Consider the following 15,580-nt stretch of genomic DNA (forward strand, 5'->3'; position numbering starts at 1 on the left):
GAATCCACCCTCCTCTCCATCCACTGCTGTCTCAAGTGCAATCAGAACCAAGTGTTTACCAGATAAATCCAAGGGACTCCTGTGGCTCACCTTCAGGCCATCTTCTGGGAAGTCTCTCAGCACCCACACTGAGTAGGAGAAAATCAAATGCAGGTTTTCTGTGCCTAGAAGGAAAAGCAGGACTTGTCAGCAGTTGAGGCCCATCTTGCCTGTGGCACTGGGAAGGCAGGTGGGCAGGTTGCCCCAGAATTCATTTTCCTGAAAAGACAGCTCAAGCATGAGCCACTTGGGGTTGTTAGCCCTACTGGGCTGGCTCCATACCAGGGGGCTGTCACAGGCCAACCACCGAGGGACTTTTATGCCATTTGGAGGAATGAAATTGAGTGAACACGAGCACGGGAGGGAGGGGAGCAACCAACCAGAAACAGAAACAGAGGGAGACCAGGTCATTTGAACAGGAGCGCTTTCCCACCCCTTTCAAAAGGCGGACTTACCCAGATGCTGCAGATACTGCACTGTCCTCTCGTGGCCTTTCAGAGGGGAGTTGGCTTTCTTGGACTGGTCCACGAGCACCTGCAGAGCTGGCCACCAAGCCCAAGAACAAGGTCATGAGCCTTTTCCCCACGGGAGATTTCCATATCTCAGTGGGTTTCCCCTGCCATGTACAAGAGCCCCTCCCAGATCCAAGGAACCACTCCCACACCTTTCTCGTGGAGCCCCTTCTTCTCATACAGGATGATAAGCTCACTGTACTTGTGAGCCTTCTTTAGCACGTGCTCGCTCTCCTCGATGTGGCAGTGATTGTTCTCCAGGCGTAGCAAGGGGGCCACCAGGGCCACATTTGTCTGCAGAAAGAGCAGGAGTTCAGTGGAAACTGCTTCCTGGGGAGCCCCACCCTTCCCTGGCCCAGGCCTGCTCTAGGCTGAAAGGCCAGGAATGTAGCACAAGCAAGAGAAAGCAGACAGCCCTCTTTCAGGACAGCAGGTAGAGGCTTTTAGAGCATTTATGGACCTTCGCACAATGTGTTTTAATGTTCTGTGGGGGAGAACATTTCTTGAAGGAAATACTGTCCCAGCTGACTTTGTAGCACTAACTGCAATCCGACCAGAGAAGATGAATCCACTGTACAATTGTGCATTGATATCTTGCCCTATCCTCTTAATTCCAAGAGACTCACAGACATCAGGAGAAGTCTATATGGTTTCCAGAATCAAAGACTTCACTCTTACTAATGGCAGGTCCCTCAGGGTCTAGCACTCCCTTTTACTTTCCCAGACTGTCAGGGTAACTGGGAATTGTGGCACCCGAGCGCTCAGGTAACTCACATGGAGATAGCACTTGAGCAGGGTGGTGTCGATGATTTGTAGCAGCTTCTTCTTGGATTTGATGGTGGGAGTGCCTTCCATGAGCGGTGAGGTGCTTGACTGGTGATCAGAGTCATTCAGCTTCTTTACCAATTGACTTCGTTTCTGCAAAGGTCAAAATGTGGGGTTAAGGCCAGGACTAAGTCTTCCTTTGTCATCTGAGCTACTGGGTAATTCTGAATACCTCCAATCAGCTCATGCCTATTGGCCTGATCTCACATTAGCATTCGATTTTTAGCACTGCCAAATTGCCACAGAGACAACAACAATTATTTATTGAATATTTACTACAGACCAGGCACCATGCCAAGCACTTTATATATACCATCTTAAACCTAAAACAAGTGCCGATAATATTATCCTTATTTTACAGGTGAGGAACCCAAGGCACAGGTGTCAGCTGCTACATAAGGGGTAGGGCAGGATTCACACTGGGGGCTGACTCCAAAGCCCATGTTCTTTTATTTTTTTAAAAATCAACCTTATTGAGGTATAACTTACAATAAAATCTAATCTTTTAAAGTGTACCATCAGATACATTTTGACAGATGTGTACATGCATGTAACCACCTCAGTGAAGGAAGATAACATTTCTATCACTCCAGAAAGTTCCTCGTGCTATTCCCAAACAATCCCACCTACTGATCTGCTTTTGATCCCTGGAGATGAGTTTCTGCCTATCCTAGAACTTCATCCAGTATGTATTCTCTTGAGTCTGGCAGAGCCCATGGTCTTGCTCTGCCATCTCTCTGGCACAATACTAGTGTCAGTTACTTCACACATTCCCATTGTCAGTGAAGAAGGCCAGGGAAGGACGTGTGCTCACCTTCCTACAGCTAAGACATTGGCAGTGGAGGGCCTTCCACAATGCCACTGGCTTTGGGAGATAGTATGCCCAGGAATCTTTTTTACTTAGCACAGTGTGTGCAGTGTGTAGGCAGTGGCAAGTTTGTGTGCTCCTTGCAGGCTGCCAGCCCCAGGAGGGTACCCCTGGAGCCCAATGTCAAGGAAGGGCCAAGGCCACCCATGCCTGATCAGACCTGCAGGGACTCACTGACCCAGAGGCAGGGAGTGGAAAGTGGCATGACAATTTTTCCAGCAATACTTCTTCTTTTTTTTTTTTTTTTTTGAGACAGAGTCTCACTCTGTTGCCCAGGCTGAAGTGTAGTGGCGCAATCTCGGCTCACTTCCACCTCTGCCTCCTGAGTTCAAGCAATTCTCCTGCCTCAGCCTCCTGAATAGCTGGGATTACAGGCGTGGGCCACCACACCCAGCTAATTTTTGTATTTTTAGTAGAGACTGGGTTTTGCCATGTTGGCCAGGCTGGTTTCGAACTCCTGACCTCAGGTGATCTTCTGTCTCAGCCTCCCAAAGTGCTGGGATTACGGGCATGACCCACCACACCCGGCCAACAGCAATACTTCTCAGTGCCTACCCTAGAGCATTCTGGAGACCTCTTACAAAGATCTGCAAAACACTTAAGAGGAAAAAATATCAATAAGGTCTCTGATTCTGAATGGGTACACAGGAAATAAACAATAGCCTTCTGTGACAGAAATCTAGGGTTAAGAGACTTTAATGGAGATGCTGGCTTTAGTGCTGACTTAAAAAATGTATCTGTCTATAACAGTAAATCATAAAAAATTTTAAATCTAAATACCTCCCTAAAAAACATGTTATATAAGGACATTTATTGATAAGGAAGTACTTTCTCAGTATATGGCTAAATTTTTAAAAAGTTAAGCTATAAAACAATCTACAATTTGATATCCATTTGCAATAAATAAACCAAGAAGTAAATAAACAAAAGCTAATTCATAGATATACAAGTCTAGAAGGACAACACTAAAATGTTAGTTTCTTACATTCTGGTGGTAGAGTTATAGGTAATTTGTATTTCTGCTTTGTACTTTTTTGTGTGTGTTTTCCAAGTGGTTCCACATACAGGAGGCATTTTCCCCAAAACCATGTATATTACAAAAAGTTTGTTTTAAAAAAACTTGTATGCTTCTATCAACTAAAATTTACTTTTTTTAGTTTCTATAACAGCTTTGTGTGAATTTACTAGGAATTGGGTGTGTTTATTTTTATCAAGATTTGGCAGAAAACCCCACCTCAATGGTACTGTAAAGTTAGAAGTAGCAGAAAGAAACTTTACCCCAGGCAGACTTCCTACAGCATTAATTTACAGACTGCCTTGGCATTAGAGAAGGCCCTCAATTCCTTGCCACAAAGAAACAAGTACTGAAACTCCCAGGCAAACTCTTTCACGCACTCTGTACTATACCTACCTGTGTCAGGTAGTCAATCAGAGCTAAGTGAGCCTTCTCCAATTCAGCCCCGGAGAGCACAGGCAATGGGTTGGGATACTGCAACTGCTTTCTGTAGTCTGTGGGCAGCAGGTCAGGGTACAGGCCCATCACATGGGTGGGATCTATATGGAAGGTAAACATGATTCCTCTGGAAAGGAGCCCAACAATTTAGGGATAAAATAAAACAGGACTATTACTATAGCAAAATAAGTTCCAGACTGATTTAAAAAAAAAAAAAAGACTCTCAGTTCATAAACATTCAACGAGCTGTAGACTTATGATTTGAGCACTTTTTATACATATGTTAAAATTCACTAAAACATCACAAAAATGCCTGACTATATTCAAATACACACACATAATTAGAATTGAATATTTATCAAGCCTCTGAAAGTAGAGAATAAAAAATTTCTAAGGAAAAATGCTGATATTGAAGTAGAAGAGATCAAGAGACTCAACAATAAAAAATTTAAGTCAAAAAAAGAAACATTACTAAAAAAAAAGACAACAGGCTAGGGAATATATTTGTAGTATATATGGCAAGAGGCTAATTTGTTGATTACAAGACTGGGCAGCATAGTAAGAACACATGTCTACAAAAAAATTTTAAATTTGCTAGGCATGGTGGCATGTGCCTGTATCCAGCTACTTGGGAGGCTGAGGTGGGAGGATCGCTTGAGCCCAGGAGGTCGAGGCTGCAGTGAGCTGTGATCATGCCACTGTACTCCAGCATGGGCAAGAGTGGAGACCCTGTCTCAAAAAAATTTTTTAAAAGAGGGTAATATGTTGATTAAACAAATTCACATAAATTGGCAATAAAATGTAAGACTTCATTTGACAAATGACCAAAAGACAAGACCAACTGACAAGAGAATATAAATATGTGGGAAAATGTTCTGCTATATTAAGAATCAAAATGGTGCACGTTAACAATGTCAAAGAGGTGACATTTTCCTTCTGCCTTAGAATTTATGGTGTTCTCACAGATGCTCGCAGATTTTTTTTTTTTTTTTTTTTTTTTTTTTTGAGACAGGGTTTTGCTCAGTGGCACAATCTTGGCTTCTTGTAGTCTTGACCTCCTGGCTCAAGTGATCCTCCTGCCTCACCTTCCCAAGTAGCTGGGACTACAGGCATGTACTATCCTGCCAGCTAATTATTTTTAAATTTTTTGTAAAGACAAGGTCTCACTATGTTGCCTAGGCTGGTCTTGAACTCCTGGGCTCAAGCAATCCTCTTCTCTTTGGTCTCCCAAAATGCTGGGATTATAGGCATGAGCCACTGTACCTGGCCACTCCCAGATTGTAACAGCAAAATGCTGTAAGTAGCCAACATATCCCCTCACTGACTGGGGGCTGGTTATATAATTTACAGTGCATCAATGCTGTGGAACACTATGGTGTATGGTCAATTGGCACTTCCCATCCATTTCTACTCCTTTATAGTCCACAGGGGCTATAAAACTGAAAACTACTTTTATCAAACTCCCTAGCAGTCAGGGTTCTAAGTGAAAATCTGGTTCCACCCAGAAACAGGATATGAGATTTGGAAACTGAAAGTGAGATGGAAGCCTCCCTCTTCCAGCTCATGAGTGTGTGCAGCCAGACTCGGCATTTCCAGTGTCTGGTTATCAGCTCTGCCATTCCATAGAGGCACCTGCCTGGATACAGCAGCCTGCACTCAGTCACCAGCTCTGTGGGAACTGAGGATACTACAGGGCTTAGGCTGTGGAAGCAGTAGCAACTTGCTGACCTCTGGATCACAGGGATGTGCCCACATCAATGTCCAGTAGTGGAACCCTGTCTTCTGCTCATTCAGCTCATCCAACAATCTGTGTGTCTATATGTAGTAAAATATACATGCCACAATATTTATCCTTTTAACCATTTGTAAGCATACAATTCAGTGGCATTAAATACATTCACACTGTTGTGCAACCATCACACCATCCATCTCCAGGACTTTTCCATCATCTCAAATTGAAACTACCTTAATAATAAACAATTACTCCCTATTCTCCCTCCATTCCAACCCCTGGGAACCTCTCTATTTTACTTACAGTCTCCATGAATCTGCCTACTCTAGGTACTTCAGATAAGGGCAAGTTCTCTCTTCCAGGCTATGTGGAGTCTTGGTGGTAGGATAGCTCTAGGGACCTACCTTTGCCTTCAGAAGCAGAGGGGAGCCAAACCTCTTTCTCCACCCCTAGTAGAGTCTGGGGGTCAGACCATGACCTAATCCTGGCTAATCAGATCCCTTGATCTGGAGGAAATGATGCAAGGATGACAAGTAGCGTGGTACACACCAACATATATCATACATCCCATCCTATGTGCTCCTCTTAGGTAACATGACACTCCTCCATCAAGAGAGGAAGTCTGATGAACTTCCTTGCCTTGAACCTGGCAGGACCCTTGTAAACCAACAGAATATAGGAAGAGTGAGAGTCACAAAAGACATTGAAGCTTCTGCCTAGGTCTCTTAAACACGCCTTCCGGAAAGAGCCAGCTGTTATGCATGAGGACACTCAAGCAGCTCTGAAGAGAGACCCCCTTGGACAAGAACTGAGGCCCCTGGCTCCAGCCAGCACCACTTTTTCAGCCATATGAGTGAGCCAGCTTGGAAGTGGATCTTCTAGCCCCGATTTCAAATGATGGTAGCCCAGGTGACATAAAACTGCAACTGCCTGAGAGATCTGAAGCAAGGACAGTGCAGCTGACCCCTTCCCAAACTCCGGACCAACAAGTACTAACAGAGATGGATGATTACTGTTACTTTAAGCCATACAGTTTTGGGGAGATTTCTTACGTAGCATTAGACAGCTAATACACTAGCAGAGGGCAATTTTTATCAAGGATGCAACAACAGGGGAAGTGGCAGTGGCAACGGCTAAGAAGGTGGCTATGCTAGTGCAGGATGGCCCAGCCTGTCCTGGCTACAAACTGATCATTGTCTGGCTTCCTGTTTTGTTTCCAGCTGGGAGGGCTTCCAGAGCTCCCTTCGTTTCCATCTATTCCCCAGCCTAATCTCCCATCAATTTTATGAATTCTTTCAACTGTCATTACCCTAATATTCCAATAAACTCTGCTTAATTTATCCAGATTCTACTTAAACGATCCAGAGTTGGTCTCCATTGCTCACAACCAAGAATCTTGACTGATACAGGGAATTACCACAGTTCATTACTGGCCAAGGTTGAGGAATGGTGGAAAAAAGGCAAAGCAATGAAGAGGAGAAAAGAGGAGATGCTAGTATGATATAGAGTCAATCCAAGTATATATAGATAGATTGATCCAAATTAAGCAAAACTGGGATATACAGTTTTGAATATACAGTAATGAAATTCAATACTAATAACATCAAACACTTACAGAGCACTTGTTAAGTGCCACACACTGTTCAAAGCACTTCATATAATCCTTATAGCAGCACTCTAAAGCAAGCAGTAGTATGATCATCTCTTTTTTGCAGAGGAGAAAGCAGAAACACAGAGAGGTCCAGTAACTCTACCAGACCTCAGGCAGACCCCAGGGTACCTGCTCCTCGCCACTACACTCATGTCTAGAGGTTTCAGGACATTAAGAAAAGGAAGAGCTTCATGGCACTGCCCTGTGTTGGCTCTCATAAATGATCTGCAGTTTAATCCAAGGACTTTGGTTCAGAACAGCATTCAATAAACACTAGCTGATCAAATACCCATTTGTTGAACTGAATGACTTTCTGCTACCTTTCTCTAATGGCAAGGGCATATCATACTGGAAAATTGGGAGTCCACATTTATTGAGAAGACCAGATTCATAGGATTAGGAGTATAGATATGTAACCACTGTGGTCACCCCACAGGATCTTGCTAGGTATGAGGATCAATTTAGCTGAGCCTAAACCTTCTCCATTCTCAGAAGTCTGTTATCATTTCTCCCCATACTTTTCAGGCTCCCCTCCTCCATTAGTCCCTTATATAAAGGCCTCACCACTTGTTACCTGTGCCAAGTTTAGCAAAGACCTGCATGGACTCATCAAAACGCTTCTGGCAGAAGAGGTTGAAGGCATACAAGTTCTTGATGTGATGAATTTGTTGCTGCTTTTCACTGTCAGAATCATCTTTCATTTCCTAATAACGGAGCAGAATATGTAAGAGTTCACTCACTCAACAAATATTGTTCAGTATGTTCTTGATGTTAGAGAAGATGCTAGGAGCTACAGACACCAAAGTGTACAAGACAAGGCCGGGCGCGGTGCCTCACGCTTGTAATCCCAGCACTTTGGGAGGCCGAGGCGGGCGGATCACAAGGTCAGGAGATTGAGACCATCCTGGCTAACACGGTGAAACCCCGTCTCTACTAAAAATACAAAAAATTAGCTGGGCGTGGTGGCACGTGCCTGTAGTCCCAGCTACTCGGGAGGCTGAGGCAGGAGAATCACCTGAACCCAGGAGGTAGAGGTTGCAGTGGGCCAAGATCATGCCACTGCACTCCAGCCTGGGTGACAGAGTGAGACTCCATCTCAAAAAAAAAATAAAAAATAAAACAAAGTGTACAAGACAGCCACATGGTATCCACCTTGCAGCCTGCCCTTACAGTCTAACTGTAAGACTGCTAAGTAACTACGCAATTAAAACACAACAGGGTTTCTACAAGATGCCTAACCGGTAATCTTGAAAATTGTCATGGTCATGAAAAACAAGGAAAGATAAAATGTCACAGACCAGAGGACACTAAGGACACATGACAACTAAATGCAATCTGATTTCTGGATTTGATTCTGGAACAGAAAAAAGGACACTAATAGAAAAACTGGCCAAATCTGAATAAAACCTAGAGTTTAGTTTAAAAACACAAAATAGGGTAAGAGTGATGATAAGCATGTGGGAGGGGTCCCCAATCCAGTCTGAGTCCGGGGTCCAGGATGGATTCCAAGAGGGACCTAAACTGAGACATAACGGATGAGTTGGGCCAGGCACGGTGGCTCATGCCTGTAATCCCAGCACCTTGGGAGGCCGAGGTGGGCAGATCACCTCAGGTCAGGAGTTTGAGACCCAGCCTGGCCAACATAGTGAAACCCGTCTCTACTAAAAATACAAAAATTAGCTGGACATGGTGGCATGTGCCTGTAATCCCAGCTACTCAGGAGGCCAAGGCAGGAGAACTGCTTGAACCCAGGAGGCGGAGGTTGCAGTGAGCCAAGATCACGCCACTGTACTCCAGTTTGGGTGACAGAGCGAGACTCCATCTCAAACAAAAGGATGAGTTTGAGTTAGCTAAATGAGGCTGAGCAGATGACAGGGAGGGGAAGAGGAGCATGTACTCCCCAGCAAAGGAGACAGCACATGTGCAAGGCTTTAAAATGGCAGAGAGAGCACAGTGTACTCAAGGAATGAAAAACATCCGATGGGCCGGGCGCGGTAGCTCACGCCTGTAATCCCAGAACTTTGGGAGGCTGAAGCGGGCGGATCATGAGGTCAGGAAAGACCATCCTGGCCAACATGGTGAAACCCCGTCTCTACTAAAATACAAAAAATTAGCTGGGCGTGGTGGCGCACGCCTGTAGTCCCAGCTACTCAGGAGGCCGAGGCAGGGGAATTGCTTGAACCCGGGAGGCGGAGGTTGCAGCGAGCTGAGATTGCACCACTGCACTCCAGCCTGGCGATAGAGGAAGACTCTGTCTCGGGAAAAAAAAAAAAAAAGAAAGAAAAAAAACAGAAAGCCATCTGGCATAGCTGGCACGGTCGGGAAAGGTCCTATTCTCAGTAAAAGCTAAACAAATGCAGCTGCTATGAGCTTTGCTTCTTCCTCATAACCTATTTTCCCCTTATACCTCTTTAGCCAATCTTTATCAAATTTAGTTTTTTCTTTCAAAATGTCTCTCAATTTCCCCCTTTCCTTTCTTTTCCTATTACCGCCACACTAGTCCAAGCCATCATCAACATGTGGCTGTCCCTGGTCTCCGCTCTCCTGCTTGGTGCTTCAAAGGCTTCCAAAACCTGGTGCCAGCTTCCTTATCTAGCTGAGTCCCAAACACTTAGGCCATACCTTCTTCTCCAGTCAGGACAGGCTCCAAATGCGATAGACACAGGCCACACTTTACACTTCTTTAACTTCCTCTCCATCTGGAATGTTCCATTTCCTGCTCTTGATCCTAATCTAACATATTCTTAAACGGTCAACTCAAGTGTCCAGCCGTAGGATGCCTTTTCCAGCCCACAGCGAACTGTCCCTCTCTGACACTTGGCTCCAGGACTTATCAATGCCAAAGTTTAGTTTGTAATTTCCCTCTGAAAGTTCCATTATGTTTGTGTATCTATTTAAATAAAAGATAGGTTCTTCCTGGACTAACATGATGTCAATCAACCTTTTTTTGTCATAAAAAGGGCAGAGCACAAAATAAGTATGAGCCTAGAAAAGAGAAGGAAAAATGGGAACCCACTTCCATTTTCTTTACCTGAGATTAAACAACCTGAACTAGGAAGATCACTGAAAAGACTCTGAGACCTTTCTGCTAAGAAAAATAGACTAAAGAGTTTCATACTGCATAACCTTTTTATCAAAAACTAAATACATTACTTCCATATGTTAAATATATGTAAAAGATTAAACATATGTGTTTAATCATTAAATATATATTTTAAACGTATACTAAATATGTTTATATTTTAAATATATATGTAAAAGAGTAAGGTCATGATAAATACAAAATTTAGGATAATGATTACATCTGGAGGAGAGGCAGAGGGATGGGATGGGAAGGATTATAAAAAGTTATAAAAGTTATGGTTCTTGGGTAGGATGGTGAGTTCATGGGTATTCACTGTATTATTTTTAAAAATGAAAATAAAATAATATAGGACAATGCATGAGTAGAAAAAAAAACAGTAAGATGCTGAAATTCAGTGCTCTAAGAAAGCAATCATCTTTATGGAATATTAACTATGTCTTACTATTAAGATCAGATTTTTATTTTAAATCCAGAACATATATGTCCAAAGTAAATGTTCTTCACGAGTAGCCACCATAGGTAACTTAAAGTATCTGCATTCTAAAAAAGTGCTTTCCTTTTAGAAATAGTTTACAGGATACTCTAGAAATTCAGTTTTATTACTATTATCTTCATAAACATCTCTTCTTTAAAGTATCACTATCTGAGGCTGGGCATAGTAGTTCACATCTATAATCCCAGCACTTTGGGAGGCTGAGACAGGAGGATCACTTGAGCTCAGGAGTTTAAGACCAGCCTGGGCAACAAAGTGAGACCCTGTCTCTACAAAAAATAAACAAATTAGCTGGGTGTGGTGGTACATGCTTGTGGTCCCAGCAACACAGGAGGCTGAGGTGGGCTGATCACTTGAGACCAGGAGGTCAAGACTGCAGTGAGCCAAGACTGCATCACTGCACTCCAGTCTGGGTGACAGAGTGAGACCCTGTTTTAAAAAAAAAAAAAAAAAAAAAAAAAAACCTCAAAAAACCCCCAAATACATAAAGTAGCAATATCTGGTTTAACAACTAGGTTAGGCTCAGAATGACTTTTGGTTGTTTCCTAAAAGCAAATCCACCCCCTACAGATGACAATAATCATCACTGACGATGTTTAAAAGAACAAGACACAGACTCTGACATCAACATTGGAACAAGAGGTGGTCACTATTTTGCTGTGAACAAGATCCCTTGCAAACATTACAGTAAGCATCATAAATATAAGACTGCCGCCTGGCTGAATACAACAACTTGAAGTAGTTTCAGAATATCAAAAGAAAGCCTACTTATCCAAACATAGGAGTCTACTGTGGAAAGGAATTTTGAGGGGTCCTCTAGTTGTTGCATTCAACTTTACTATAACAGTATATTTATGATTGCTACTAAACTTTAATGTCTCCATTATCTTTAATTTTTCATGACCATACAATATATTAAATTATTTTATTCTCCCATTAATTTTTTTTTTTGTTTTTTGAGACAGAGTCTCGCTATGTCACCCAAGCTGGAGTGCAGTGGCATGATCTTGGCTCACCGCAACCTCTACCTCCTGGGTTCAAGCAATTCTCCTGCCTCAGCTTCCTGAGTGGCTGGGATTACAGGTTCCTGCCACCATGCCCAGCTAATTTTTGTATTTTTAGTGGAGACAGGGTTTTGTCATGTTGGCCAAGCTGGTCTCGAACTCCTGACCTCAGGTGATCTGCTCGCCTTGGCCTCCCAAAATGCTGGGATTACAGGCGTGAGCCACTGCTCCCGGACTCTCACCTTAATTCTACAAGGTACTATTACTAGAATTGATATTCATTCTACATTTGACAGATAAAGTGAAAAAGTAAACTCACTTAGAGTTACATAGATATTTTACGGTGGAGTCAGACCTAGTATTCAAGGCCCTGGACTTTCAGCTATGTGCTTATTCTACTAACCCAAAATAAATATGAACATTGAAACCCAAATCACCTACTTTCAAGAACAATAAGGAAGGAAGACTAGTCAGGAACAAGACTTACTGCGAGCTGCAGAGCCAATTCAAACTGCTTGTCCTGGAGAAGTTGTTGGATTTGGGTTGCCATGGGGACAGGGATGAGTCTCCAAACAAAATGATTGCTGGCCACATAGATAATGTTTGATCTGGAAGCAAGAGTAAGAATATTAGCAAAAGATCACAGGCTTTGTGATGACACAGGTGACTTTACAACTTTGGGATAATATACAGCCATAGCAAAAAAAGAAATTCCTTACCCTCCTGAGGTAATGAAACGGGGCCTTTGCAATTCAATGCTTTGGACCAGAAGCCTCGGTTCAAATGTTCGGATCTCAACATATCGAGGCAACACTGCAATGATGTAGGGAGGCTGGTGCTCTGTGAAAGAGAACATACACAGCAGTTGTTCCGGTCTAAGGCTTTGGGTTTATGGAGTGTTTCAGCTGCCCATTCTAAGATACATTTAAATGGATCTCCAAAAAGTCCCCTAGTCAAATATCAAGCCAGGATCTTACACTGTGATTCAGAAAGAAAGAAAAAAAAAATTGGCCTGTAATCCCAGCAACTTGAGAGGTTGAGGTGGGAAGGTCACGTAGGCCGGAAGTTTGAGACCGACCTAGGCATCTTAGTGAGACACTGCCTCAACAAAAACATTTATTAAAAAATTAGTCAGGTGTGGTGGTGCACACCTGTAGTCCCAGCTACTCAGGAGGCTGAGGTGGGAAGATCATTTAAGCCCAGGAGTTTGAGGCTGCAATGAGCCATAACTGCACCACTGCACTCCAGCATGGGTGACAGAGTGAGATCCTGACTCTAAAAAAAAGAAAAATAAAAAAAAATTGCTTTGCTTGAGTTATGATCAGAGAAATCTCTTGCACAAAAAAGACACATCAGCTGTGCTGACAGTCACCTGATCCCACTCCTGCCTTATTCCCCAAAGAACTGGATAAAAGTTTCACTTGCTCCTTTTTCATCAGTCACAAAGCCAGGCCAGACAAAGGCCAGTTGCAGCTGCCCATAACAATGCATCAGTGGGAGAACCAGGTAACAGAACCTCTTCTTTCATTCTCTTAGAAAAGTGGCGGGAGGGGGAAAGGCCGGGTGCAGTGGCTCACGCCTGTAATCCTAGCACTTTGGGAGGCTGAGGCAGGTGGATCACGAGGTCAGGAGATCGAGACCATCCTGGCTAACATGGTGAAACCCTGTCTCTACTAAAAAAAAAAAATACAAAAAAATTAGCCGGGCGTGGTGGCAGGCGCCTGTAGTCCCAGCTACTCGGGAGGCTGAGGCAGGAGAATGGCGTGAACCTGGAAGACGGAGCTTGCAGTGAGCCGAGATGCACCACTGCACTCCAGCCTGGGCGACAGAGCAAGACTCCATCTCAATAAATAAATAAATAAATAAATAAATAAATAAATAAATAAATAAATAAAATAAAAAATAAAAAAAAAAGAAATAAAAAAGAAAGGTAGGGGGAAGGCAAATTCTGTTTTCCCTAAAATTACTCTAAGGGAAGAGTTCCACATTTCTAGCCAATGTTGTTTCTGCTAGAGATTTTCACAGAGAAAAGGTGTGATGCTCCACCTGATGGCTGCTATGGTTTGGCTATTTTTATTCCCTCCCCAACTTATGCATTGGACACTTAATCCTCAGTGCAAAAGTGTTGGGAGGTGGGGCCTAATGGGAGGTGTTTAGGTGGTGAGGCTCCAGCCTCATCAATAGATTAATGCACTATAAAAAGGGCTTGTGGAGTGGGTTCTCTCTCTTCTGCCATGTGAGAATGCAGAGCTCATCTTTCTCTTACCCTTCTCCTTCCACCATGTGAAGGAGCATCAAGAAGGCCCTTACCAGACACCAGATGCCGGCACCCTGATCTGGGACTTCCAAGTCTCCAAAACTGTGAGGAAACAAATTTCTGGTTTTTATAAATTACCTAGTCTGTGGTATTCTGTTATAGCTGCACAAATGAACTAAGACATGGCTTAATGGTACACAGAGAAGGTGGCTGGATGGACTTCTCAGTGAAGGCATTTCTATTTGATACTTGCTGTCGAGTCTTAAAATTGTTTTCCTCTATTATATCTAAAAAAAAACCTTTCATTCATCTATCCATGACCCCAAATTTACCCTTCTGATCCAGTACAAATTATTGGGTTATACTCCTTTTCTTCACTCTTCCTCTCTCTTTTGAAAATAACTTTTAATATATCCACTATATTTTTCTGTACTTTTTGACAAGCATGTGACAGTCCAAAGCTTAAAATGCTGGATGAAGCAGAACAATTCCACACAGTGCTAAAGAAGTCAGCATGCAAAAAGCAGACTGACAAAACCATAAAATCATTGCAAATCAAGTCTTCCAATATTTGAGAAGTTGTATGGTGAAGGAGATTTAACATAAATGGAGGGAATTTAGAAAATAAGCAACACAAAACATATCTTTAAAAACACAAATCTCAGAACAAGACTGAATAAGGATCTGCTTTACCTTACACTGAACTGTAAGATAAATTTATTGTTTGTATACTATATGAAACATAATTTCACTAACTTAGAGATAATAGAAATATTTTCTATGACTATATTCTGTGCTATATCAAGAATCCGTAAAGAACTACAGTGAGATATCACCTCATACGCCTTTAGGATGGCTACTATTAAAAAAATGAAAATAACAAGTGTTGACAAGAATATGGAAAAATTGGAACCCTTGCGCACTGTTGGTGGGACTGTAAAATGGTGCGGCCGCTATGGAAAACAGTATGGTGGTTCCTCAGAAAATTAAAAATAGAATCACCATATGGTCCAGGAATCTCATTTCTGGGTACATATTCAAAACAGTTGAAAATCAGGATTTCAAGGAGATATTTGCACACACATGTTCGTAGCAGCATTATTCACAGCAGCCAATGGTGAAAGTAACCCAAGTATCCACGAACGGATGGATAAACAAAATGTGGTATATACACACAGTGGAATATTATTACTTTTTTAAGTAATTATTTTATTACCTTTTTAAGTGGAATATATATTACCTTTTTAAGGTTCAGCCTTAAAAAGGAAGGCATGAACCTTGAGGACATTATGCTAAATTAAACAAGGCAGTCACAGAAAGACAAATACTGTATGATTTCCCTTATATGAGGTATCTAGAAGATGTCAAATTCATAGAAGCAGAAAGGAGAATGGTGGCTTCAGGGACTGGAGGGAGAAGAACTGAGGAGTTGTTAATGGGTATAGAGTTTCAGTTTTGCAACATAAAAAAGTTCTGAAGATCTATTGTACCACAATGTTAACATACGTAATACCACTTAACTGTACACTTAAAAATGGTTCAGGTGGTAAATTGTATGTTATGTGTTTTTTACATTTAAAAATAAAAATGTTTTTAAAAGTAAAAAAATTAGTAAAAAGCAAACCACTAGATGCATAATTACCACATAGAAATTTAACTTC

General features: G+C 42.3%; 1 protein-coding gene across 5 annotated transcripts in view; it reads right to left on the reverse strand.

Annotated features, from left to right (window-relative positions):
• The window catches only part of VPS39 (VPS39 subunit of HOPS complex), a 49,604-nt gene that overhangs the window by 7,368 nt on the left and 26,656 nt on the right, over positions 1-15,580 (reverse strand). For all 5 annotated transcript variants that reach the window (NM_015289.5, XM_011521404.3, NM_001301138.3 and 2 more), the window contains 8 exons: positions 12,382-12,502; positions 12,150-12,270; positions 7,655-7,784; positions 3,656-3,798; positions 1,326-1,469; positions 704-845; positions 495-581; positions 91-164 (listed from right to left, as the gene is read on the reverse strand). In NM_015289.5, coding sequence (NP_056104.2) covers positions 91-164; positions 495-581; positions 704-845; positions 1,326-1,469; positions 3,656-3,798; positions 7,655-7,784; positions 12,150-12,270; positions 12,382-12,502 — 962 coding nt within the window. The remainder of the gene's footprint in view (positions 1-90; positions 165-494; positions 582-703; positions 846-1,325; positions 1,470-3,655; positions 3,799-7,654; positions 7,785-12,149; positions 12,271-12,381; positions 12,503-15,580) is intronic.

This window comes from Homo sapiens, chromosome 15 (genome assembly GCF_000001405.40).
Source record: "Homo sapiens chromosome 15, GRCh38.p14 Primary Assembly".
Taxonomy (NCBI): Eukaryota; Metazoa; Chordata; class Mammalia; order Primates; family Hominidae; genus Homo; species Homo sapiens.